This window comes from Homo sapiens, chromosome 3 (genome assembly GCF_000001405.40).
Source record: "Homo sapiens chromosome 3, GRCh38.p14 Primary Assembly".
NCBI lineage: Eukaryota > Metazoa > Chordata > Mammalia > Primates > Hominidae > Homo > Homo sapiens.
Genome location: NC_000003.12, coordinates 184312635 through 184335486, shown reverse-complemented (window position 1 = coordinate 184335486; position 22852 = coordinate 184312635). Strand labels below are relative to the sequence as shown.

The 22852-nt window shown below is 52.4% G+C and overlaps 1 protein-coding gene and 1 non-coding gene across 9 annotated transcripts, besides 8 other annotated features; both read right to left on the bottom strand.

Moving 5' to 3' along the window:
* Positions 129–20881, bottom strand: EIF4G1 (eukaryotic translation initiation factor 4 gamma 1). 8 transcript variants are annotated; one of them, NM_001194946.2, is made up of 34 exons: positions 20813–20881; positions 19942–19998; positions 19631–19724; positions 19269–19355; positions 18754–18774; positions 17990–18166; positions 17671–17770; positions 15686–15798; positions 14765–14857; positions 14494–14560; positions 13384–14205; positions 13037–13125; positions 12757–12943; positions 12533–12666; positions 12246–12404; positions 11894–12079; positions 11510–11707; positions 11140–11286; positions 10373–10609; positions 10114–10218; positions 9848–10007; positions 9536–9636; positions 8858–8960; positions 8504–8606; positions 8039–8271; positions 7783–7901; positions 7485–7657; positions 6731–6856; positions 6497–6578; positions 4123–4221; positions 3881–4015; positions 3678–3759; positions 3401–3541; positions 134–760 (listed from the first exon to the last, which is right to left on the bottom strand). In NM_001194946.2, the coding sequence occupies exons 3-34, from the start codon at positions 19688–19690 to the stop codon at positions 579–581; spliced, it is 4821 nt and encodes a 1606-aa protein (NP_001181875.2). In that variant the 5' UTR covers positions 19691–19724; positions 19942–19998; positions 20813–20881; the 3' UTR covers positions 134–578.
* Positions 654–803: an enhancer, noted in NCBI's record as "active region_20908". NCBI's record gives its function as "activates an Ori minimal core promoter by ATAC-STARR-seq in GM12878 lymphoblastoid cells {active_cell/tissue: GM12878}" and the evidence as "EXISTENCE:reporter gene assay evidence [ECO:0000049][PMID:35858748]".
* Positions 7634–8134: an enhancer, noted in NCBI's record as "H3K4me1 hESC enhancer chr3:184045141-184045641 (GRCh37/hg19 assembly coordinates)". NCBI's record gives its function as "activates a minimal SCP1, AML or CMV promoter by ChIP-STARR-seq in primed H9 embryonic stem cells {active_cell/tissue: H9 hESC(primed)}" and the evidence as "EXISTENCE:reporter gene assay evidence [ECO:0000049][PMID:30033119]".
* SNORD66 (small nucleolar RNA, C/D box 66) lies at positions 9716–9791 on the bottom strand. Its single transcript, NR_003055.1, has one exon. It is a non-coding gene; the product is annotated as a small nucleolar RNA, C/D box 66 (small nucleolar RNA).
* Positions 19612–20233: an enhancer, noted in NCBI's record as "H3K27ac hESC enhancer chr3:184033042-184033663 (GRCh37/hg19 assembly coordinates)". NCBI's record gives its function as "activates a minimal SCP1, AML or CMV promoter by ChIP-STARR-seq in naive H9 embryonic stem cells {active_cell/tissue: H9 hESC(naive)}" and the evidence as "EXISTENCE:reporter gene assay evidence [ECO:0000049][PMID:30033119]".
* Positions 19612–20780: a biological region, named in NCBI's record as "H3K27ac hESC enhancer GRCh37_chr3:184033042-184033663".
* Positions 20071–20780: a silencer, noted in NCBI's record as "silent region_14961". NCBI's record gives its function as "represses an Ori minimal core promoter by ATAC-STARR-seq in GM12878 lymphoblastoid cells {active_cell/tissue: GM12878}" and the evidence as "EXISTENCE:reporter gene assay evidence [ECO:0000049][PMID:35858748]".
* Positions 20801–21130: a silencer, noted in NCBI's record as "silent region_14960". NCBI's record gives its function as "represses an Ori minimal core promoter by ATAC-STARR-seq in GM12878 lymphoblastoid cells {active_cell/tissue: GM12878}" and the evidence as "EXISTENCE:reporter gene assay evidence [ECO:0000049][PMID:35858748]".
* Positions 20801–21458: a biological region, named in NCBI's record as "H3K27ac hESC enhancer GRCh37_chr3:184031817-184032317".
* Positions 20958–21458: an enhancer, noted in NCBI's record as "H3K27ac hESC enhancer chr3:184031817-184032317 (GRCh37/hg19 assembly coordinates)". NCBI's record gives its function as "activates a minimal SCP1, AML or CMV promoter by ChIP-STARR-seq in naive H9 embryonic stem cells {active_cell/tissue: H9 hESC(naive)}" and the evidence as "EXISTENCE:reporter gene assay evidence [ECO:0000049][PMID:30033119]".

The following is a 22852-nucleotide window of genomic DNA, read 5'->3' as shown; positions in this document are numbered from 1 at the left end:
CATGGACAGGGGAAGAGGCAGGAGGGGTGCCAGGTTACAGGGAACAGCGCTACAGTACCAGCTCTGGGAAGGATCCCCACCTATAAACACCTTCTCTAGAGGGAGCAGGGCATAAAGCAGAAAGGCAGTGAGCTTAATTGAATTCATGTTTAATAATTACAGGCACCGTGCCCCCCCTTCCCCCTGCCCAGGCAACAGCAGGGGTGGTACAGGGGCTGGGGCATATGCCCCCAGCAGCGAGGACGGCAGTCCCGAGAGTGATTTTCAGAAAATAAAAAAAAGGACCCCAGGGGCAGGCGTTGGTGCCCCTCCCCACCCCAAGACACACCAAATTTCAAGACTTTATATATAATATATCTCTGTGCCCCAGGGGGAGGAGAGGGACACCTGGCGGCATCCTGGAGGGGGGCCCAGGCAGCCCCAAGCCATCCTGCCTCTTCAGCCACTTTATTAGTTCAGACACATCACACTACAGGCACCCACTGCCACCGCCGCTGCTGCCGCCCCCCTGCAGTCCAGGCGGCTAGCCGGGCCATCTGTGTGTCCATGGGGCTCCAGGTCCCCGGCCCCACCAGCCCTCAGTTGTGGTCAGACTCCTCCTCTGCTTCACGGAGCCACTTGAAGAAGGCTGTGACAGATTTAAGGGCCACACCCTTGCCCTGCTGCTCAGCGGGGTCCTTGCTACTCTCCCAACTGTAGAAGGCATCCTCCTTCACCACGTCCTCGTCATACAGTGCGTCAAAGAACATCCGCAGCAGGTCTGCAAGCAGGCGGGACAGCAGTTAGAGGTGACTGGCCACCGCCACCCCAGCCCACCCCAGGGAACCCTCCCAAGTTCCACTGTTCAAACAAGGCCCTGATGCACCAGCCTGACATTTGTGGCCATTCCAGAGTGACTAGGCCTCTGACAGGATGCTAATCTCATGATCTGAGACTGCTGCACAGCAATGAGTCACTTGGCCATCAGAAAAACCTTACAAACTTGCTTGGCCTCACCTTGGCAGCCTGAAACCTCTCTGCCCATGATGTATTTAATGGAGAAAACTATATTCAGAATTGGTACTCCTGAATTCAGGAAATCGCTAAAAGTCCTATATATATCATACATAAAGTCCTATATATATCCTACATGTAACCTGAACATTCACTGCCCCCCAAACAGATCCTGACAACTCCTGATCTCAATTTCCCTTCCTTCCCCACACATTTCCTGTACATACACACCTTCTCTGGCCTTGACACTTTTGTGGATGCTATATCCTTTGCCGGAAACTTCCTCGTGTCTTGTTCCTTCAGGACTCAACTCAAGCATCACCTGTTCGGGCCCTCTTTCTCCTCAACCCCTAGCTGCTGGGTAGCCTTCCCAAGCAACGTGTCCTATAACCCCTGAAACACAACCGACCCCAGTGCCCACAAGGCACCACCAGTCTTTCCAAACCAAACCTTACACTTCTAAGCCATCTATGAGATGCTGCCAGCCAGGATGTTCTGCAGGGCATGCCCAGCCTCAAAGTCACAAACTGCCTAGGGGCACAGTCACCTGCTACCCCCACCCCATAGCAATGGGCCATAGCAGGGCAGAACCTTCACTTAACCCGTACCTACACTCCAAATCCCACACATACCCACCCAGGGACCCCATCCAATCGATTATGCACTCTGCCCTGTATTTTCAAGCCCAAGTTTCTCTAACCTAAAAACAAAAAGCCCTGTTTTCAACCACTATCTTACAGCTAATAAAATATTTTGTCTACACTTGATGTTTTCCCTTCTTTCTGTCTCACTTAAGTATTTCTCAGTCCTTTCCAATCCAGAATCTGTCCCCTGCCCCACTAAATACTGTTTTTGCCAGGGTGGCCTCTATGTTTTTATATTCCAAACATCCTGCATTTTCAGGCCCACTCCTACAAACGCTCACAGCAGCATCTGGCATTATCAACCACATCCCTCTCCTCAAATTTCTCTGTCCTTGGTTCAGAGGGGCCTGTCCTCCTTTGGTCCCTACCAGTATGTCCGCTCTACCTCCTTGGGGCTGTATCTCAGGCCCTTATCACTCTCCCTCAGGCAAGCCCGTATCCTCTTATGACTTGCACATGAGTTACCCTGTGCCGGCATTTCACAAAGCTGCCTCCTGCCCTGATCTCTTCTTTTCCAAAAGGACCCAGATACCCCAGCTATTGAGCTGACATCTCGATTCCCTTACTCAAGGACCACAACTCAACTTGATCCACCGTTGCCTACCCCAGCAAATGACATCACACTATGGCCTCTAAGCCCACTGTGATTTAAAAACCATCCTGGGAGTCATCCATGACTTCTAATCTCTCACGGCCCCCTCCCCAGACCAGTGTAACCAAAAGCTGCCAACTCCATTTCCTAAGTATCTCTTGATCTGCCTACTCCTCTCCACCATCACCAGCAAGGCTGAGCCACTGGTGCTAACACTGCCACATCCACTCTCACCCCATTCCAAACCACTCTTCCCTCTATTGCCAAGATGATCTAAAAACTAAAATCAAATTCCTTTATTCCTTGCTTAAAATCCCACAAAGGCGTTTTCTTGCCCCCAGGCTAAAGCCCCAGACTCTGGCCATGGCTTACACCCGGCCCTGTGTGGTCAGGCCCACATCCCTCTCTTCGGCCCCATCTTGCCTCACTTAGGACTGGTTGCTGTGCTCTCCCACACTGGCCTTTCTTTAATAGTTCTTTTCCCTGTGTCAAGTTCTTCCTACCATAGGTAGAAAGAACACACATAGTGCCTTCGCTTCAAACATTCTCCCCCTCCCCTTCCCAGTTGTTGTGGAGTGAATTACCACTCATTACCCCTCAGACCAGGTGTCCTCCCTCCGAGAGCACCCGTCTTCCCAGGCTCATTGCTCACGCCAGTACTAACTCCAGGCCAGCACAGGAAATTGCTCGGCTTCCTCTCTGTGAGCATGCCAATGCCCTGACACATACCTATGTTCTGAATGCATAACCTGAGACATGTTCACTGAGACCTCAGTCTCCTCATGTGGAAAATAGGGGTAATACCATCCACCCTAAACAACATTTGTGAGGACTACATGAGGCAAGGTAAGCAAAGCATTTCAGCCCTGTGCCACGCCGTGGGGGCACACGGTACTGGGAAGATCCTATCATTTATCACCTCTGCACTGTTGGCATCAAACACATGGCTAGGCACAAAACAGGCAATTACCCTTCAAGGCTGTGTCTAACTCCTTCCACTTGTAGGAACAACACAACACAAACGTAAAAGGAAAGAATGAAACCCAGAGGGCATTTTGCTCTCTAATGACTACCTACCTTTCTTGGATTAAGACCCTTCCATGAAGGGTCTCATGCCCTGCTATCTGGCAGTCCCTCCACCCCACCCCTGTCCCCATGGCCTGGCTCTTACTGGGAGGCTGTTCTAAGGTCACTACAAGGGCCTGGAGGGCGTAGAGCGCCTGTAGCTCCTTCTGCTCGTCACACAGGTATTTCTGCAGCAGCTTCGCTCGCGCTTTCAGCACTGCAACGTCCACTCGGAGGGGAGTCTCAACTACAAGAAGACAGGGATGAGTGGAGCAATATACCCTTACCCCGGTTCAGAACTGGGAGGCCAAGGCTGACACCCACCTCCCTCCACTTGTCTGTCAGGCCCACCCTTGCCCCTCCATCTCCCTGGTTCCTCTTACAAATAATTGCAGAATAGCAGACAGCCGTCATGAGGGCTCGAACTAACGTGTTGGATACTATCTGCTGCTCACTCAGGTTGGCCTGTATGGGAGAAACAAATGATCCCCAGATTCTGAATTGGGCCCTTCAGTCTTCATTCTTGCTGCCCCCACCCCCACCCTAAGAACTACCTTTCCTTTATCGATATCCAGGAGAAACCTACCTCTATCCAGTCGAACACCCGCTGGTTACTGCTGCCCTCCTTCAGCAGCTTCTCCAGCTGCCTGTTCAGCTCCTCGGAGGGGAGTGCCCTCTGGCCAGGGGCTTCCGACTCCTCTCCCAGGGTATACTCCACCTTCTGCAATGGAAAAGGCCCGCAGTTAAGAGGTAAGGTTGCCAACAGGAGACAAGAAAGAAGACTGGCCAGCCTCAAATGCTAGAATTAACCCAACTCCATCCCCAAACCTGTTCAGCGACGAATGCACCAATGTCCTGGCCTTCAGGTAGAAATTCCTTCCAGCTAAGCCCGGCTTCTCGCCACAGCGTCCCCACCTTTTTAGGACCCTGGAAAACACAAGACCAACCCAGCTTACCAAAGCTCTCTCTCTCCAAGGACCCAACAGCTCTACCACATTAATCCAACAAATATTTACTGAAAGCCTACTAGGTACTTGCTAGGCATTAAGGATGCTATAGAAATACTAATAGGCAAAGCCCTTCCATTCCTACGGTCTGGTGCAGGGCACAGATGTCAGTCAAATAACCACCCAAATAAATAAGAACTCGTCCCAGGAGCGGGCGGTGGCTCACGCCTGTAATCCTAGCACTCTGAAAGGTCGAGGTGGGCGGATCACCTGAGGTCAGGAGTCGGAGACCAGCCTGACCAACATGGTGAAACCCCGTCTCTACAGAAAATACAAAAATTAGCCAGGCGTGGTGGTGGGTGCCTGTAATCCCAGCTACTCGGGAGGCTGAGGCAGGAGAATCGCTTGAACCCAAGGCGAGGGTTGCAATGAGCTGAGATCACGCCACTGCACTCCAGCCTGGGCGACACAGCGAGACTCTGTCTCAAAAAAATAATAATAATAAAATAAAATAAAAGAGAACTTGTCCACCAAAGTGCTATGACACTAGGGTAGGAAAAATGATGTAAGGGCCTCTAGGAAGGGACAACTTCTAACAAGTATGCTTGTTTCCTAAACCCAGAAAATCTTAAGACACAAATATACCCCATCCCTAACACAAATAAAAAATCCTCATAAAACCAGCAGTCTGAGTGCATTTTCTGTAAGGGGCAATAGACTATGAAGACATCACTCTTTTCTTTATAACAGACTAATGGCACTGGCTCTTAGCAAGATTATTGCAGTTCACAGATTTTAAAACATGCCCATTTTTTCACATTTTAACTAAAAGTTGTCTTACAGCCGATATATATCTTTTTTTATTTTGAGACAGAGTCTTGCTCTGTCGCCCAGGCTGGAGTGCAGTGGCACAATCTTGGCTTACTGCAACCTCCCCCTCCTGGGTTCAAGCAATTCTCCTGCCTCAGCCTCCCAAGTAGCTGGGACTACAGGTGCGCACCACCATGTCCAGCTAATTTTTTTGTATTTTTAGTAGATACAGGGTTTCATCATGTTGGCCAGGCTGGTTTCCAACTCCTGACCTCACGTGATCCACCCACCTCTGCCTCCCAAAGTGCTGGGATTACCACGCCCGGCCCAGTCTTTTCTTTCTTAACAGCGCATAAAGAATGTCTTATAATCTATGGCACCTTGGAGTTGATGAAATACACAAATAGTTCAATATGCTTATTTGTTGTTAAAAAACAACTTGTCCTGGTACACGTCTATTTAAAAGAATTAAATGATGTTGACATAACAATTCCTTTAAATCCCAAGTGTGATTCCTCCAGGTTCCAGATGGCTGAACCCTTGAAACTGCACACACTCACCCCAACTTCTCACTTCCACTAAGTACCACATTCAACTTACCTTTCCCCATCTCTTTACCTTTATATTCGCTAGTTACCAATTAACTTTCACAAAGCCGCTTCAGCACCCTGAAAGCCTCCTGTCACAAATATTGTCAAATATTCCTTTGCAACCCCACAGTACTTAAGATACTCCACTCTATTTCAACTGTTTTATGTCACGCTTTACTGTTGTTTTTATCAAGCTGTCATTTCTTTTTTCTTTTTTGGAGACAGAGTCTTGCTCTGTTTCCCAGGCTGGAGTGCAGTGGCACAATCTCGGCTCACTGCTACCTCCGCCTCCCGGGTCAAGTGATTCTCCTGCCTCAGCCTCCTGAGTAGGTGGAATTACAGGCACCTGCCACAACACGGCTAATTTTTGTGTTTTTAGTAGAGATGGGGTTTCACCATATTGGCCAAGCTGGTCTTGAACTCCTGACCTCGTGATCCACCCACGTCGGCCTCTCAAAGTGCTGGGATTACAGGCGTGAGCCACTGCGCCCGGCCCATTTCTTCCTTTTTCTCTACCAACTTGTTTCTTGTGTTTTATTCATTGCTGTGTCCCTAGTGCTTAGTATATGATAAATGATCATCAACAAAACCCTAGTTCAATGAATGAATAAATAAATGCATCAATCACAGGCCTAGGGTCTTAGACTGCCATTCTCCTCCAGTCTTGGCCAGAACTCATGATAGGAACTGGTGTGCGGGAGATGGCCCACCTCAGTATTTCCTCTCCCAGGTACCAACACAATCCTGTCATCACCATCACTCCACTCCACCAATGGACCATGAAGCTTCAGGGCCACAGCAAACAGCCAAAACCACACCGTGGGAGGCATCTCTGGACTCCTGGCCCTCACTCACCATGCTTTTGCACAGGAGGCCCAGGATCTCCAGCAACAGGGAAGCAGCTTTGCCCAACGGTCTCAGAGGCTTTGTAATCTCCCTACAAGAAGAGAAAAACCTAATGCTGACAGCCTCCACAGTTCTCTCACCACTACTCCATCTCCCTCCAAACCAGGGTATCCAACCCAGCCATTTCCCTACCACCTTTCCTCTGGTCTTTACCTCCCCTGAATTCCACCCAGGGGGACTTACCTGAACAGCTCCCCCATGGGCACCCCACCTTCCTGCAGAATGGGTGTTACCAGTTCCGCTAGGTAGAGCCACACGTGGGGGATGTCAATTTCCATGTCCTCAGCCAATTCCAAGATTTCATACAACCTGCCAAGGGAATTCAAAGTCAAGACATTCTAGGCCAGGTCCCCACTCTCCTTCTGGGGCAACGTGGCATGGCTAGGGCATCAACTATGGAACCCCCAGGAACATTTTCTAGACATGGGGACAATTATTTCAAGCTAAGGCCACCTCTGTGTCCTTAGATGGTTTTCACCCCGCTTAACCCCCTAAAGTTATGCTGACCAGGATGGTCAAGGAACCCATACTGTTTTTTGGTTTTTTTTTTGAGACAGTTTTGCTTTTGTCACCCAGGCTGGAGTGCAATGGCACGATCTCGGCTCACTGCAACCTCCACCTCCCGGGTTCAAGCAGTTCTCCTGCCTCAGCCTCCGAGTAGCTGGGATTACTGTGCCACCACGCCTGGCTAATTTTTGTATTATTAGTAGAGACAGGGTTTCACCATGTTGGCCAGGCTGGTCTAGAACTCCCAACCTCACGTGATCCTCTAAGGAATCCAACCCACCTTGGCCTCCCAAAGTGCAGGGATTACAGGCATAAGCCACCACACCCGGCCAGGGAACCTACACTCTTATGCAAGGTTCCAAGGGTCCCAAAAAGGAGATAGAAAATTGTGGGTCTGTATAAGTGGGAGGCCCAGAGAAGCTGGTCATACCCTTGGTAGTACTGAGCAGTAGACAGATGCCCAGCACAGAGCAGCTGGTGCAGCAGCTGCCCCATATGCTCACGAGCAATGGCACTGCGCTCCAGCGTAGACTCGACACCATGCCGTACAAAGATGAAGAGCAAGGAGGGTGAGGCCAGCTCCTGCACGCACTGGACTGCCTCCTGAGGGGTGCAGGGCACAGCAGGAAGAGACCAGTCACTGTCTGACCCAGACCCCGGACCCCTATGCCTGCCAGCATGATCCCTCCCTGCCCACTCCTCAATCACACGCCGCTCCCACTGCCTACTTTCATGTCATTGAGATGGAGATATTCCTCAATGATAGCCTTGGATTTCTTCTCTAACTCCTCCTCAGAGAGAGCCGCCTTCAGGGGGCTCACTGGGGGTAGGGCAGCTTCTCGCTTCACTGTGGGAAGAGAACACAGATTAGAGGGACTTTTCAGTCTTCCCAGCAAACAAGATTTGGAGCTCTCAAAAAGCTGGGGACCAGCTAGTCCCAAGGCAGCCAATGCCTTTCCCTCCATTCCTCTCCCAGACTCTCACCGGCATCCCGCCCACGGTCCCGATCCTCCGTGAGGCTAGCTGCCTTGCGCAGCCCCTCAGGCTGGGAGGGCCGTTCTCTACTCCGCTCCTCCACTTCCTTGCTGAAGCTCCGCTTGGTAGCAGGTGTCCGCGCACGATCAAGCCGGTCCCCACGGTCCCCTCCCCGTTCACTCCGCTCTAGGCGGTCTCCTCGGTCTCCAGCTTTCTCGCCTCGTTCTCGGCTCAAGCTACTCCTGGAAGACAGACAGACAAATTTTCACTCACTTGCACTGCCCAGGCACTCATGTAATTACACAACATGCTGAGCAACTGTTGGGCCTTGTTCTTAGCATAATGAGTATGCCCCAATCTAACCCAAGGGCTCCAACCAGGACAGGTATGAAGAAATTTCCAACCTATGGCAACAACCAGAACCCAATCACGGTACCCCCAGTGTGAATAACAAAGATGTCCAGGAAACCTCACCTCTGCACCACACGTCTATTATCTGTGCTTTCTGTGGGTACCGCTTGTTGAAGGGCTGAGAAGCGATTCAAAGTACTAGTAGCTGGGCGAGCAGCTTCTGATGCTGGGGATGCAGAAAATCCGTATTAAAATCTTTTTCTCCTTTCCTGCATTTTATCCCCTACTTGCCAGTTTAGGACACTTGGTCCCAGTCCCAAAAGTAAAGCAGTTCAATCCCTGGAACCACAACACAAACCTCCTCTATTGCCCGCATTGCCTAACCACCTTGTACTGAAGGCCTCCCTAACAGAAAAGGCTCTGTCCTCAAGGGAGCTCTGACGGGTAACCACCCAGCTCCTGACACTGCCTCCATACCTGCGTCTGAGGGCTTGGCTCCTGAGCCTCCGCTGCTGCCCTTGCCCCAGCTCAGTCGCCCTCCAGGTGCAAAGAGCTGGTTGTTAGAATCGATGGAGCCAGGCTGAAGAAGAAAAGGGGAGTAGAATCATAGGTCCAACCCGGCTGAGTCCCTTGGCCAGCACCACCATATGCAACCAAACAGGTAGTGAATGGCCCAGTCCAGGGGTCAGAAAATCTTTTTTAATAAAGGGCCAGTCTCTATTGCAACTACTCAATTCTGCCACAGTAGCATGAAACCAGCTGTAGATGATAAAGGCATGCTGTGACTGTGTTCCAATAAAACTTCATGGACACTGACATTTACATTTTATTTAATTTCCACAGCATAAATTACCATTCACTTTTTGATTTTTCGCAACTTTAAAATGTAAAAACCACTACTGGGTCCTGGGATGTATGAATGGGCTGGATCTGGCACGTGTGTGTGTGTGTGTGTGTGTGTGTGTGTGTTTGCCAAACACTGGTCCAGACTAATGGGAGTACCACCCTCCCTCTACAGCTGGCAGTCCTGTCTCCAGCAATCCAACCAGTTAGTCTAAGAGGAAACATTCAGCTGTCACCTTCTCAACTTTAGAAAAGTGAAGGGACTAAGATCTAAACCTGAGCTGAATCACCCACTCCCACACACACCCCTACCTTGGTGATCTTGGTGAGTCGTGAGGTGTCAATGGGGCGGCTACCTTTGCTGATGGGAACTGTGTTCCAGCCACCATCATCCACAAGGGGAAGTCCACGGCCTGACACAAAAAGAGGGGCATACTGGAATAATGAATAAATCCTAGCAGCCCCTTCCCCTTGGGCCACCCCCAGCCTCCCTTCCTCAGATCCTCAGTTCCATCATGGTGTCTCAGTGGCCCAGACACGTGGCACTAACAGGAAGTCATCAGAGGAAAGTATAACCTCCCGGTCCCTTCACTGCTCCCTTCTCAATCCCAGCTTGGAACTCACTGATGGGAGGGCCTGGAGGACCGCCCCGACGCTTGTCACTGCCCTTGGCCATGAGCTGCTGCACTTTGATGTGCTCTCGATGTTCTTCCATCTCAGCCTCCTTATGGATCTGGTCAATGGTCTTGGGACCCTGATCCCCTCGGCGTGGCACCCAATTGCTCTGTGGAGACAGAGGGCCAGTCACGATGATGTCAGGGAAGGCAAGACAAGGCAGTGTCAGAAACTGGAGGCAGCAGGCTGGCAGTGGGGAGGAGGGGGACACACACCCCTCGCAGATCCAGCACGTCCTGCAGCATAAAGCGGATGCGGGATGACGTCTTCTTTTCTTTAATGATTTTTTCCATCTGGTTGAAATACTGATCCATTCGGGGCTAGGAAGGAGAAAGGCATCAGACCAGGAACTTCTCATGTCCCACCTATAACTGCAGGCCCCACCCCTCCTCAGGCCTTCCGCCCCATCATTGTGGGCTCAGTGAGCCCCACATATGCTTCAGCCCATCCCCCTCCAGATGCAAGGACCTCTACCTTGGCTTTTTCAAAGTCCAGGTCTTTGCCAATGGTGGTGAGCAGACGACAAAGGCACTCAAGGGACTCTTCATCATGGTTCTTAAGCAGTTTGACCACACAGTCATGCATTATTGCCTCTGTTAACATCTTCAGTTTGAACAACTCTCCAATAAACTTGATATTCCCTAAAGAGCGCCGCCGGGCTATGTCCCGAGCCTCTTCCAGCTCTTCCTTCAGGCGTCCTCGTTCCTCTGCCTGCCATTCACAGGACAGGGATTGTGTCAAAAAGATAACCAGCCACTCGGCTAAAACCCTTTTCTACCTGGATATCCAAACCTAGCAATAAGCACTCAGTCCTGAGGCCGGCTGGCTGGGCATAGTGGCTCATGCCTGTAATCCCATCAATTTGGGAGGCTGAGGCAGGCGGATCACTTGAGGTCAGGAGGAGTTTGAGACCAGCTTGGCCAACATGGTAAAACCCCGTCTCTATTAAAAATACAAAAAAATTAGCCAGGTATGGTGGCACATGCCTGTAATCCCAGCTACTTGGGAGGCTGAGGCAGGAGAATCGCTTGAACTCAGGAGGTGGAGGCTAGCCAAGATCACACCACTGCACTCCAGCCTGGGTGACAGAGCAAGACTGTCTCAAAAAGGAAAAAAAACGTCCTGAGCCAGAGAAATCCCCAAGACACCACTACCTCCATTCCAAATTCTACAGCTGAGTAGCATCTGGGTAAGGGAAGGAGGTAAGTGGTGAGTGGAATCGATAGTGGGTTTTCTCTCACCGTAGCAGCTTCATCCATCTCTTTTTGCTTCTTCTCAAAAACCTCATCATCATCTTTGTCTTTCTCAAACTCCTTCTGACATCGATTCAACAACAGCTTTCGGAAGTTCACAGTCACTGTTGGCTTTTCCGTAGTGGGCACTTTCAGCTGTAGGTCAGAGAGAATGTCACACTCAAGACTAGTCCTGGGCAGGGAAGGCCCTCCAAGAGCCTTTAACTACCTGACCCAGGAAGATCTCTGGCCCCAGCTCTGCCTCCTTCCAGCTGGAAGAGGCACAAGTTGGAGGGGAACCAAGAAGCTGGACTCAAGGAGTCTTGGGAATAGGAATGGGCAACCAGACCATTAGATTTAGAACCCACTGGAAACTAACCGCCATGAGGCAGCGGCACATGTTGGCATAGGCCACAGAGAAGTTGGGCTCTGAAATGGCCTTCTCAAAAATGAGGTCAATGACCCCTTTGAGGCGTTCCTCGGTGTCGATGGCCAGCTGCGTCACTTGCTTCATCAGCTGCTGGAACATCTGGGGTGTCAGTTTATTCAGGATGGAGCGCACCCTGCGGAATAGGTCCTGGAGGGAGAAGAGACAAGAGTTCCAGTGAGGGTCTCAGAACAGGCTGTTGGGAGGGACAGGAGAGGGTGGTGGGGACTTAGGCATGACAGATGCTAGTGATAAGGACAAAAAGAAGCAAAGAGGGCACAGATGGCAGACCTGGAGAAGAAATGGAGAGAGACCAAAAGCAGGACTTGCCAGTACCTGGGTTTTGCTGCCATCAGCATCTTCTTCCCCTCGATCCTTATCAGCCGCCGTCCGCTTGCTGCTGGGTTTCCAGGCTTTCTCTGCTTTGTTCAGTTTTATATCTTCGGTCATTAACACTGTGGCAATGATCTTGCGTGGTTCTTTTCGGGGTCCCTGCTGAGAGCGCCGGGGTCCCAGGCCAGCCTGCTAAGCAAGGGATGAAGACAAGAGGGGACATGGAACTAGTCAGCACAATATGTGACACCACTACTACACGCCTCCAGGGCAAACCCCTCCCCGCGGGCACTGAGACACGGAATCATCCACTCCCACTCCTTGCCCACCTGCCACTTTACCCAGCCCCACTCACCGGCCCACGGGGCAGCTCCCCACCTGGCCCACCCCTTGGGGGCCCACGGGTGCTAAGGGTTGTCCGGCCAAGGTTGGCAAAGGATGGAGTGAAGTCTGGGCCACAATTTATGCCTTGTAGTCTAGTGGGATCCAGTGGCCGCAGTGGTGTTTTATTGGCCTGCAAAGAGGACAGGAAAAGGTCTCAGAAGCAGGCTAGAGCGGTTGACTACTCTTTCAGGACCTCAGGCTCCTCCCCAATCCATCCAGCACAAACTTATCGTCCCCTCCCCAACTGAAGCCACTAACCTTGTCCAGCACCACGTCACTGATATGTGGCAATCCCTCTGGCTTCTGCATACTGGCAAAGATGAACTGAAAACCAAGCAGGAACTCACGGTCGTAACGTTTTTTCTCCTCTAGGTTTAGAGGCTTCCACTGATCTGCAAGGAAAACAGAATGAAGCAATCATACTGCCTCCTCTGGCCCTAATAAGAAAACTCAAGCCATTCTCAACCCTTTCTTCAGCATACCTGACTTATATTCATACTTCTGTTCCCCGGGCTGGATGTTCTCAGCATTGTGAATTTTGTCTTCCTTTGAGTCCCAGGTCTCATCTGCTTCCTCAGGACGTGGGGGCACACCACTGCCCTCAGACTCTGGGCCTGGATTGCTGCCTGCAGGAGGCTGATTTTCCACCTCTGGTACTGCCGGGTTCGCCTAGAACAACAGAACATCCAGTTTTGGTTGCAGAATGACCACTGCTCCATACCTCAACTTGGCCCTCTCCCCTCCCATTTTCTGCTCCCTTACCTCCTTGAAGGCATCCAGAAGGTCTCCAACAGCCTCCTTCTTATTTAGCTCCTTAATTTTCCGTCTCCTCTTTGGCACAGATACTGCCACTAATTAAAAATAAATAAATAAAAGCATGGATCTTTGCCAATAATTTAAGGAGTACCCTTAATCCCTGGGAAATAGAAAGCAGCCAAAGAACAGTATTTCCCCTTTGCATCACCCTTTTTAGGCTTAAAAGTCCTTAATCTAGTTCTTAGATTCCATTGCAGGGACCCAGAAACATGTCAAAAATGGGCGGTCATCAAGGAGGGCAAGGAACGATATCCCCTAGCCCGCCCTACCTCTACCGTCCAACCACACCTTACCTTGAGTGGCTGCTGCTGCCTCCAAATTCTGAGACAAGTTGGCTGGAATAGGGGTACTCTCTGGGGGGAGCAGTTCCTCTCCTCCTTTCTCACTCTCAGCTTCTCCTGCTTCTCCTGCTTCTCCTTCTTCCTCTTCTTCTTCTTCTTCCATTTCCTCCTCCTGAGCTGGGGAAGTAGCTGAAGGAGCCGTAGCTGGAGTAGCAGAGGGGATGGTGGGGGGCGCCATTGATGCTGTCACCTCCTTGGCCTGCTCCTCTGGCTCACTGACTGGGCTTAAGTCCACAGCTGGTGGCGAGGGGGCTCCGTTGAGCAGTTCCTCAGGTTGGGCAGTTGGAGCAATGGGCACAGGGGATTCGGAGGGGCAAGCTGGGGGAGGAGCAAGCTCTGGGCTTGACTCCACCTCTGGTTCCAGATCTTCAGATGGGACCATGCCATTAGGCTCATGAATTTCCACTGTGTGAGATGCCAAAGGGGTGGGAGCCTGGAGAGGACTGGAAGAAAACTCAGATTCTGGAACCGGTTTGCTAAGTGTCACTTCTACTTCCAGTATGGGTTCGGCGAGAGGAGTGGGTTCTGGAGAGAGGCGATATGGCTCCCCAGTTTCACGGGAGATGGGGGTTGATTCTTCTACAGACATTTGTATAGTTGTCATAGTGTCCCCAGGAATAGAGAGGACTGCGAGATTAGGCTCAGACCCCGGTTCCAAGACTGGGGATGGTGATGGGGTCGGAGAAGGCGACGAAGGCTGGGATTCTGAAGGGCTATGCTCTGGGCCAGGCAGCCCTGGCCGGTCAGCAATGATTGCTCCCTGTGACCGGTCATCTGCACCATAGGAAGGAAGAATGAGCAACTAAAGGCAAGTGCTTAACTGCTGTTGTTCCTCCCCATCCTCCAGCCCAGGCATTCCCAACTTAATAACCCCGCATCATCTTCTCCCCACCTAAGCTATACTTCCACTTTCATCCAAAACCCAATTCACCCTCAAAATCCCACAACCTGAAATCTAAGTCATCATTCTCTGGTACCCAGTTCAAGTCACTCCACCACCTCAGCATTTAACTGTTAACATTCCCTTTCCCCATAAAAGCTCCGTCCCACCGGCTTACTTACCTGGCCGGACAATGACAGCAACCTGGGGCGTCTCCCCATTAGCTTGAGGCTCCAGACCGCCTCCCGTCTGCAGGACACAAAGGGTTACCAAGTTTGCACTGAAGAGTCCCACAACCCTTCTTTACTAGAGCCATTTCTACTTTAGCTCTGCCTAGAAATCCAGGAAAGCAGGGAAATAAATCCCTTAGTTGAAAGAAAAGATCCAGGGACTTGGGAGTCCAGGGCAGAACAGACATCCCAGCCAGGGTATCACTCGAAAAGCAGACAGTACCTGGGGAGGGGTGGGTGTGGAGGCAGTGCGGGCCCCAGACATGATCTCCTCTGTGATATCCTTTCCTCCTTGGTTTGGATCTCGAATTCGGATCTGGGGAAAGAAAGCTATAAGATGAGTGGGAAGCAGGAAGAGCCCACCTCTCCACCCTGCCCCAATCTTAAGACTCTGGGCCAACTCCCCACCCCCCAGCGGGAAGCAGGTAGGTAGGTGCCAGAAACCCCTTGAGTTCCACTTTCAGCCCATCTGGCTGCTCTCGTAGTCCCTGCCCCAGCTCCCACCCTTAAGAGACCCTTGATCTCACAGAGCAGCCCTGTACATCACAATGCCCCTCCCTCCCTCATCCCTACCCCACCAGCAGTCCCCAAGTCAGTGGCTGCACACCCTGGGGCCCAGGACCCCCATCTAGAACCCAATCGGCTCACTTGTGGCTAGTGTGCCTGATCTCTGGGGGCAGGGCCCAGATCCAGTAGGTGGAGCCAGGGTGACTCAGCGGCTTCCCCAGCTCTGGCACCCTATTCTGGGCACCACGCCCAGGGCTTGAGGACTGAGCAGAGGCGGAGGCCTTGAGAGCTTCCAGGACTGGGGGGGCAGGGGGGAATGGGGGCTGGGGCCACAGAAAACAAACCATTTCCAAGGCAAGCCACTAGAAACCCAAAACCAAGCATAGTTCTTCCAACCCCCCAGCACCCAGGTCTCGCAGGAACTTCCTCGCTAGGCACTTCAGTCTTCCCATGACCTGCTTCTATGCTGAAATCTTAGCATCTTACAAAGAACCTGAGCCCTCCACAGACACCATTCTCTGCCCACTCTCAGCTCCTTCCTCCTCAAGTCACTGCTCTTTCCGGCACAATGTCCCAGCAGCACCTGACCTTGATTCTCCCCTTCCCAGATGTCCCGGAGCCCCTCACTGCTACTCACCGTCTTACGCTCCCTCTTGGGAGCAATCTGGGGTGGCTGGTTCATCAAAACTGGGGTGGGGGCCACGCCAGTGGGAAACTGCTGCACCCCTTGGGCTGGATAGTAGGCGCCAGCTTGGGGGAGGGGGGACGGAGAAGAATGGTGGTAGCGTCAGGGCCCAACCATATACTAATGCCTGCCTGACACCTCCCACCCCAAAACCTCTCACCACCCACAGCCGGCCCCTTGCCTTGCCCTGCCCTGCCCTCCTCCCCCAGGGAATTAGGTGTCTGTCAAAGCTGGGGAACCAGTCTGAACTGCGTTTACAAGAATTCCTAACACACACACACACACAAACACACACACACACACACACACACACACACACACACACACCCCTCGTAGGCAGGCACTCTTTCCTACCACACACCAGTGACCAGGAGGACTTATGTCTGTCCTTCCACCGTACAAGTTACTCTCGTGTGTGTACCCCACCCGCTATCAACATGTACACACATACTCTGAACCTGAAACAGAACCAGGTCTTTGGCTGGTAATGAGAGAAAGAGATCTGCCAACCCTGTTCCATTTAACTTGAGTCTAGTTCCTGTCTCCAGCCCTTTACAAAGGGGCAAAGAAACAAAGTAACATTATGAACTAGGCTCAAGATGAAGAAAAATTAATTCCTTAAAGCAAACTATCTCCAAAGTGGGTGAGTTCTTTTTTCCCCTTAATTTTTTTTTTTTTTTGAGATGGAGTCTCACTCTATTGCCCAGGCTGGAATACAGTGGCACAATCTTGGTTCACTGCAATCTCCACATCCCGGGTTCAAGCGATCCTCCTGCCTCAGCCTCCCGAATAGCTGGGATTACAAGAGTGCATCACCAGGCCTAATTTTTGTATTTTTAGTTGAGACAGGGCCAGGCGTGGTGGCTCACGCCTATAATCTCAGCACTTTGGGAGGCTGAGGCAGGTGGATCACTTGAGGCCAGGAGTTCGAGACCAGCCTGGTCAACATGATGAAACACCATCTCTACTAAAAACACAAAAATTAGCTGGGTGTGGTGGCACACGCCTGTAATCCCAGCTACTCGGGAGGCTGAGGCAGGAGAATCACTTGAACCCAAGAGGCGGAGGCTGCAGAGAGCCAAGACTGTGCGACTACATTCCAGCCTGGGTGACAGAGCGAGACTCCGTCTCAAAAAGAAAATTAAAATAATAACAATAAAATTTAGTAGAGACGGAGCTTCACTATGTTGGCCAGGCTGGTCTCGAACACCTGACCTCAAGTGATCCGCCTGTCTTGGCCTCCCAAAGTGCTGGGACTACAGGCGTGAGCCACCGTGCTCAGCCCCCCTCAAATTTTAAAATAGAGACAGGGTCTCACTAAGTTTCCCAGGCTGGTCTCAAACTCCTGGCCTTAAGCAGTCCTCCTGACTCCCAAAGTGCTGGGATTACAAGCAAGATCCGGGCACATTCTTTAATTTCATCCCTAAATTCCACTTGTTTTTGACAAGCACAAGTGTATTTGTTTAAATTTTGCATACATATAAACAAAAACATACATGTATGAGAGATTCATACTCAAAACTTTTCCTGATAGGTGATCAAAAAACTTGGAAGCCACTGCCATAAAGAACAGACTAATCCTTCCCTAGAACATAAATAAAAAATAGCTACAAAAACCTCCCAAATTTGCATTACATGGGCTCCCAACCATGGAAGAAGTGTCACAGGGAAAGCCTACTAATAGGCTCTCAGGCTGGTGCCTGATCCTACATTCCCTGATGTGGGAAAGACTCTTAACTCTCCTGGCAATAAAATCAAATTTTCTCCCCACAATCAACACCAGTTAAATATTAAGCACCAATCCCTACCACCTATTAACCTTATCATTTTTAGACCAGAAGCCAAGCCTGGGAAGGGTCTTCTGCTTTAGAAATCAGCAGATGAGTTTAGATGCTCCCTTGGGCTTGTTCTCACCTCTGACTCCCTCCCCTGCTTACCGTAGGTCCCAAATTCTGTAGGGCTTGCACCTGGATAGAAGCCTGGGGCTCCTGGCTGCACAGGGTACTGCTGTGTCGGGACAACGTATGTGGAACGCCCCTGGTGGGGAAGGGGGAGAGGGAGAGAAGGAGTTGAGGGAGCTATGAGTTCCATATCAGACTCCAAAAAGAACATAGGTCAAGACAAGACAAGCCAACTCTGGGCAATGACCAGAAGGAAGTCCCACCTCTGGAAAAGCAATGGAACTGGAGGGTCAGGGTGAGTTAAGTGAGAGGTATAGGGGTCTGTGGCTTCTAGGCTCCAAGCCCCCAGCCTCACCTGTCCAGGGATGTAGTAGGCCCCCTGGGAGGCTGGGTAGGAGATCTGGGAAGGGATCATCATTACTTGGGATCCAGCAGGGTAGACATGGGCAGCTGGGCCAGGGCGGGCAGGGGCTGCACTCTGCACTCGGGAGGCTGCACTGCTCGGGGGCTGGGCCCGGCTAGGGTAGAAGTGCTGTCAGGAGGGAGGAAAGCAGTTGGCATTGTAAAGAGAAGGAAGTGGACAAAAAATTGCCACTCCACAATGTCTCTATAGCCTGGAAAGAAGTACTGTGGGCTTCAGAACATGGCGACCAATCCTTCCAAGACCACTTGACCAAATGGCTAAGCGGCTTCTTGTACACACACATGCCCTCCAAACCTCCAAATTCAGATGTACACTTTGCATCCTGCAGAGATTTACTCTCTCACTGCCATGCATACACACGTCACCTCTACCAAACTACCCCTCTGCAGAGGCTTCCTAACACCGAGATGCATCATGCCTAAGTAAGGCCCTTTCGGGCAACATATCCCCAGCATGCACTGCTCCACCAGCATGTAATGAGGAGCTAACCATAACATGCAACAGCATCCCAGTCCCCAGATGCGCGTTCTTCAAGATGTAGCCCCTAACATGCATCACTCGGCCTCCAACTGAGAACCTGGACACCAAACAAGTCACTACCCTGAAGATCCCCATTCCCTGTGTCTAGCCCCTGACTAGGGTGGAGGGTAAGGATGAGACCAGAAGACTGTCCAGGGTTGGGAAAGGGATATTACCTGCAGAGACCTGAATCCTCCCTGAGAGCACATGGGGATAGGAAAGAAGAGAATTACCCCCAAGGTGATGGCGGGGGGAGGGAATGAAGGCAATAAGACAGGACAAGAATCCTCCCACTTAGTAAGGAAGAAGCTGGGGAACAGAGAAAGGCAAGGACCAGCTGGAGTGTTTACCTCACCACAGTCCAAAGAGAAAGCAGAGAGAGCAATAGAGCAATAGCAGCCTCCGGTAAAAGGAGCAAATAGGAAAGCAAGAGCTGGCAGCAGGGCCCAAAGCACTGCCCCCAATTCTCAGAGGCACTAGGATCCCAGTAATGCCACCCTCATTGACAACATACTATCCAAGGGACCAGCCACCGTGAGTAATCAACAGGGCAAGGCGCAGAGCCGCATGAAAGAACACAGAGGATTAAGGCCAGGTATGGGGCCTCCAGTTTCCATCCTAGACCTAAACTGGCCAAAGCTTTCCACTGCTCCCACCCAGGTCCCCTACTCCCCTCCCCACAGCCCCTCACCTGGCGGGGCTGAGAAGGCGTGTTCATTTGTGTCGCTTGTGGCGTACTGAACACCACCGGCGCTGTCTGCCCCGGGGGAAACGCTGGCTGAAGAGGGGAGACCAGAGTTCAGCAAGAGGGGAAGCCCAGGTGGGGCAGAAACCCAAGCTGGTGAAATAAGGGGAGCAGATCTGCGGCAAGAGCCTTAACAATCCACATACCCCCTCCCCGTGACAGCCCCCGGGGACAGCCCAGGGGCCCTGTCTCAATTTGGCAGCAGGCGGCTGCACTTTGCCCTGACACAGATGGGGGTAGGAAGATCCAGAGGCTGGAGACTGCCTGGTCTCCCCCACCCCCACCCCTGCTAATTCCTCCCTAATTACCTGTGGGAGTCCGGGGGATGGGGCGGGTGGGGGGCCTGTGGACTGTGGAGCTTTGTTCATTTCATTTGGTGCCACATCAGGGTCCCCCCAGCACCTGTTGGGAAAGAGTGGCGCTCAGGAAGAGGAAGGGACCCAAGCTTAAGGCAAATGGGGCGGTGAAAGGGTTGATGCAAGGGCTGGGTCCCATACGGAGTCCCAGAGATGCCAAGAGGGTGAAGCAGAAAAGATACAGCCTGTCCCCACCAACATGCTGTCAAACCCGCATCACTTCCAACCAACCCCTGACCTACTGAAACAGACCCCTCACTCACCCCCTCGATTAAGAACAAGTCCACGGTGCGGCCTACAGGTTCTGGGCATCCGAGGGCCTGGGGTTGGGAGGTGAGGGTATCAACCTGGCTCCGCGGGGCCCCAGACCAACCAGACCGGAAATTCCAGGTCTCGCTGGCACCAGGCTCCCGGATCACGAACGGAGCTAGCTGCTTCGGCCGTGGCGTCCCCACCCCCCACCCGGGGACACCGGGTTCGGGCCTGGCCCAGGGGCACACAGGATACGCCTGCCGCCGGGGAACCCGCACTGGGCCAGAAGCTAGGCCTGCCGCCGCCCAGGAGTGTAGGCCAGGAAGGGCGGGAGTCAGGCCCTAAAAGGCCAGGCGGGCGGCGGCCGTCGAGGAGCCGGTTTCAGGCAAGTGAGGGTCGGCCCGGAGGGCGGGCGGGGCCGGGGGCTCCTCCCTGCCCGCCGCCACCGCCTCCCTCCCCTGCGCCCTCCCTGCGCAGCGCGGGCCAGTGCCAAAGAACAACGTGTCACTTCCCGGCGGCCTGGCCGCGAAGGGGGGAGGGGGCGGCGGGCCGGGAGCCGTGGTGCCTGCGCCCGTGGGCTGCCGGGCCTCCTCGGGTCAGGCCGAGGTGGCATTTCGCGGCGACGAACCCGGCGCCCTACCAGCCCGCGGGGCCCGCATAGTCCGGCCCTGCGCTCCCCACCCCCACCCAGCAGCCAGGCCCGGCCGGGCCAGGCACACGTGGGCCGGGGATCGGGACCCTGGCGGGCCGGGGCCCTGGGTCGGGCCGCGGGGCCAGGGCGCCGGGGCGGCGGCGCAGGGTGGCCGGTCCCGGCCCGGATGGCGGCGGATGCGGGGGGAGGGGGTGGGGGGGCCGGGTCGGGCCCGGACATGGCGGCTTTACCTTCAGTCTCCTTCAGTCCGCGCGGCCGAGCCCCACGCAGCCGCACAGACGTAGTCCACAACCATTTCCGGCTCCCCGCACAGATCCCGCTCGGCGGCCACCGCTTCTCCGCAGGCGCAGCCGGCGCCCCCACGTGACCGGCGCAGGGGGCGGAGCCGCGCCGGGCGATCTGCGCCGCCGAGCACATGGGATTTGCCCCCGCCCCGTCACGTGACAGCCACAGCCCGCCCCCGTGTCCCCTCCCGAACTTTGAAACTCCCAGACCGATTCCCCTCTGTGTTTCTCTCTGTTCCGCGATTCTTTAGTTCATTCATATTTTAAGCAACCATTTATTGAGTGCATGCTAAGTACAAGGCGAAGTGCTGGTTGAGGGCTGAGAAACTGAAATCAAAGTCTCGGCAAAAAAAAAAAAAAAATAAGCGGGGCGCGGTGGCTCACACCTTAATCCCAGTACTTTGGGAGGCCGAGGTGGGCGGATCACGAGGTCAAGAGATCGAGACCATCCTGGCCAACATGGTGAAACCCCGTCTTTACTAAAAATACAAAAATTAGCCGGGCGTGGTGGCGCACCCGTAGTCCCAGCTACTTGGGAGGCTGAGGCAGGAGAATTGTTTGAGCCCGGGAGGCAGAGGTTGCAGTGAGCGGAGATTGTGCCACTGCACTCTAGCCTAGCCTGGCGACAGGGCGAGACTCCATCTCAAAAAAAAAAAAGAAAGAAATTAAAGACTCCGTCCTGCCTAAGTAAATCGTGATACAATACGAATTATGCAGGCTTTGAAAATAATTTAGATTAGGTCATTGAAAGGCCAATAACAAAGGAAATTAAAAGGATAGAAACATTCTAATTAGGCAAGTAGTATGAGATTTGTAGTTTAAAAAGATCATGGGCCGGGCGCAGTGGCTCACGCCTGTAATCCCAGCACTTTGGGAGGCCGAGGCGGGCGGATCACGGGGTCAGGAGATCTAGACCATCCTGGCCAACATGGTGAAACCCCGTCTCTACTAAAATACAAAAAATTAGCTGGGCCTGGTGGCGCACGCCTGTAGTCCTAGCTACTCGGTAGGCAGAGGCAGAGAATTGCTTGAACCCGGGAGGCGGAGGTTGCAGTGAGCCGAAATTACGCCACTGCACTCTAGCCTGGCGACAGGGTGAGACTCCATCTCAAAAAAAAAAAAAAAGAAAGAAAAAAAGAAATTAAAGACTCAGTCCTGCCTAAGTAAATCGTGATACAACACGAATTATGCAGGCTTTGAAAAGAATTTAGATTAGGTCCTTGAAAGGCCTATAACAAAGGAAATTAAAAGGATAGAAACATTCTAACTAGGCAAGTAGTATGAGATTTGTCGTTTAAAAAGTTAGAAACATTCTAACTAGGCAAGTAGTATGAGATTTGTCGTTTAAAAGGATCATGGGCCGGGCGCGGTGGTTCACGCCTGTAATCCCAGCACTTTGGAAGGCCGAGGCGGGCGGATCACGGGGTCAGGGCGGATCACGGGGTCACCATCCTGGCCAACATGGTGAAACCCCCATCTCTACTAAAATACAAAAAATTAGACGGGTCTGGTGGCGTGCGCCTGTAGTCCCAGCCACTCAGGAGGCAGAGGCAGAAAACTGCTTGAACCCGGGAGGCAGAGCTTGCAGTGAGCCAAGATTGCGCCACTGCACTCTAGCCTGGATGACAGTGAGACTCTGTCTCAAAAAATAAAAATAAAAATAAAAAATAAAGGCAGGCACGGTGGCTCACGCCTGTAATTCCAGCACTTTGGGAGGCCAAGGCAGGCAGATCACCTGAAGTCAGGAGTTCGAGAGCACCCTGGCCAACATGGTGAAACCTCATCTCTACTATAAATAGAAAAATCAGCCAGATGTGGTGGCAAGCACCTGTAGTCCCAGCTAGTGGAGAGGCTAAGGCAGGAGAATCGCTTGAACCTGGGAGTTGGAGGCTGCAGTGACCTGAGATCACAACTGCATTCCAGCCTGGGCAACAGAGTGAGACTCTGTTTCAAATAAATAAATAAATAAATGAAATAAAATATAAA

What these genes read in the sequence shown, in the direction of transcription:
- EIF4G1 (NM_001194946.2), bottom strand. Translation starts at nt 19,690, where the DNA reads ATGAACAAAGCTCCACAGTCCACAGGCCCCCCACCCGCCCCATCCCCC. An exon ending in CATCCCCCGGACTCCCACAG is followed by an intron (nt 19,356 to 19,630) that starts GTAATTAGGGAG and finishes TCCCCTCTTCAG; the next exon opens with CCAGCGTTTCCCCCGGGGCA. An exon ending in TGTGCCGCTGCCTCATGGCG is followed by an intron (nt 11,287 to 11,509) that starts GTTAGTTTCCAG and finishes TCTGACCTACAG; the next exon opens with CTGAAAGTGCCCACTACGGA.